The sequence below is a fragment of the Homo sapiens genome, chromosome 14, assembly GCF_000001405.40.
Source record: "Homo sapiens chromosome 14, GRCh38.p14 Primary Assembly".
Classification (NCBI taxonomy): domain Eukaryota; kingdom Metazoa; phylum Chordata; class Mammalia; order Primates; family Hominidae; genus Homo; species Homo sapiens.
In genome coordinates this window covers 63,744,570-63,746,511 of record NC_000014.9, presented here as the reverse complement: position 1 = coordinate 63,746,511, position 1,942 = coordinate 63,744,570, and the positions used below count along the sequence as shown (strand labels likewise).

Genomic DNA, 1,942 nt, shown 5'->3' with positions numbered 1-1,942 from the left:
CTTGCTTCTGACACCAAGGTCGCCTCCTGGACATGGGCCAAGCTAACTTCGAGAAGAATTTGGTTTATACTTTAACTTGAAAGCAAGGACAGTAGTAATCCTTCCCCTAAAACTAACGCCCTCCTTGCTCAGGGACCAAAACCTACCTTTGTAAGACTAATGAAAGGCCACAAGAATAGGATCATGGGAGGGGCTTGAACTCTGCTATGCTTGAACTCTGCTAAAATGTAGGCGTAGTTTCCAACCCCCTGCTGCTCAGGAGTCACGTGGCCAGAGGTCACAAGATTTGTGACTTCCCCAATTGCTCCTATAGATAACATCACTACTGTAGAACCTCAGATTGGTTTTATTTTTAGATGTTTTTCAGACGGACCCCACCTGTACTTGTGACTCATGACTCAACTGCTCCTGTGGCCCTATCCAGAGGTGGACTCAGTGCATGAGGACAGTGTTCCTTACACCTATGATTTCATCCACAACAAGTCAGCAGCACCCATTCCCTAGCCCCCACTGCCCACCAAATTGTCCATAAAAACCACAGCCTCTGAGCCTTCTGAGAGACTGACTGATTTGAGTGGTAACTCCAGTTTTTTCCCATATGGGTCAGCCTTGTGTCAATTATATTCTTTCTCTACTGCACTGCTGCAGTCTCAGTGAATTGATTTTGTCTGTGCAGTGGGCGATTACAAGGTATGAGGGCAGTTGGGAGGGGGTACTGGAACCAATCCCCCATGGATACTGAGGGAGGACTGCAGCAGTCCTCTCCCCACCATAATAATTCTGTTGGATTTGGTTTTTAGTTGGCATAGTCTATCTTTGTATGTAGAATTCTAAAAATTGATTTTATATTATTTTATTCTAACAGGAGATATTTTCTGAATACCCTACCTCTGCCTCTCCTATCCCTTGCCACTCCTCTTGTTCAGGACCTTAATAACCTCATCTTTCCCCATTACATTACTATCTAGATTCCTCAGCTCCCATCTTAGTTAATTTCTCCTTCCTTCCTCCCTTCCTCCCTCCCTCCTTCCTTCCTTCCTTCCTCTCTCTTTCTTTCTTTCTCTCTTTTTCTTTCTCTCTCTCTTCTCTCTCCTCTCTCTCTTCTCTTTCTTTCTTTTTTTTTCTTGTTGCTCAGGCTACAGTGCAATGGTGCGATCTCGGCTCACTGCAACCTTCACCTACTGAGTTCAAGCAATTCTCCTGCCTCAGCCTCCCAAGTAGCTGAGATTACAGACGTCTGCCACCACGCCTGGCTAATTTTTGTATTTTTAGTAGAGATGGGGTTTCACCATATTGGCCAGGCTGGTCTGGAACTCCTAACCTCAGGTGATCCTCCCTCCTCGGCCTCCCAAAGTGTTGGGATTACAGGGGTGAGCCACCGCACCTGGCCTAATTTTTCTTATTACTAGCAAATTAGTCTTCCTAAAGATTACTATTCCAATCCCAGCATTCTTTTGTCCTCTTTTTGTTCCTTTTTGTAGCTCTCTGTTGCCAAAGAATAAAGTACAATTTTGTAGCATCGATTTTAAATTTTTCCACAGTGAGGTTTAACCTCATCTCTTCATTCTCTAATGAACACTTTCAGCTGTTTTAAAAACCTACAAACCTACCTAGCTATTTCTAGTCTCACCATTGTTACCCTAATTAACAGAGGCTCTCTAAACAAAAATTATATTTATTTGGGAATAGGACATTGCAATGTGCCATAGTAAATGATGCATATTCAAGGAGGTAAAGGAAGACAAACTTTTTGTTTGTTTGTTTGTTTTGTTTTGTTTTTAACACAGCTGTGCTTGGAAAAGGTTTTTGTTCTTAATTTTTTAAATTTATTTTATTTTGAGATGGGGTGCCACTCTGTCACCCAGGCTGGAGCGTAGTGGTGTGATCTCGCCTCCCTGCAACCTCTGCCTCCTGAGCTCAAGCAATTCTCCCATCTCAGCCT

At 43.3% G+C, this 1,942-nt stretch overlaps 1 annotated feature.

The window, feature by feature from the left end:
* Positions 1 to 430: an enhancer, noted in NCBI's record as "active region_8517". NCBI's record gives its function as "activates an Ori minimal core promoter by ATAC-STARR-seq in GM12878 lymphoblastoid cells {active_cell/tissue: GM12878}" and the evidence as "EXISTENCE:reporter gene assay evidence [ECO:0000049][PMID:35858748]".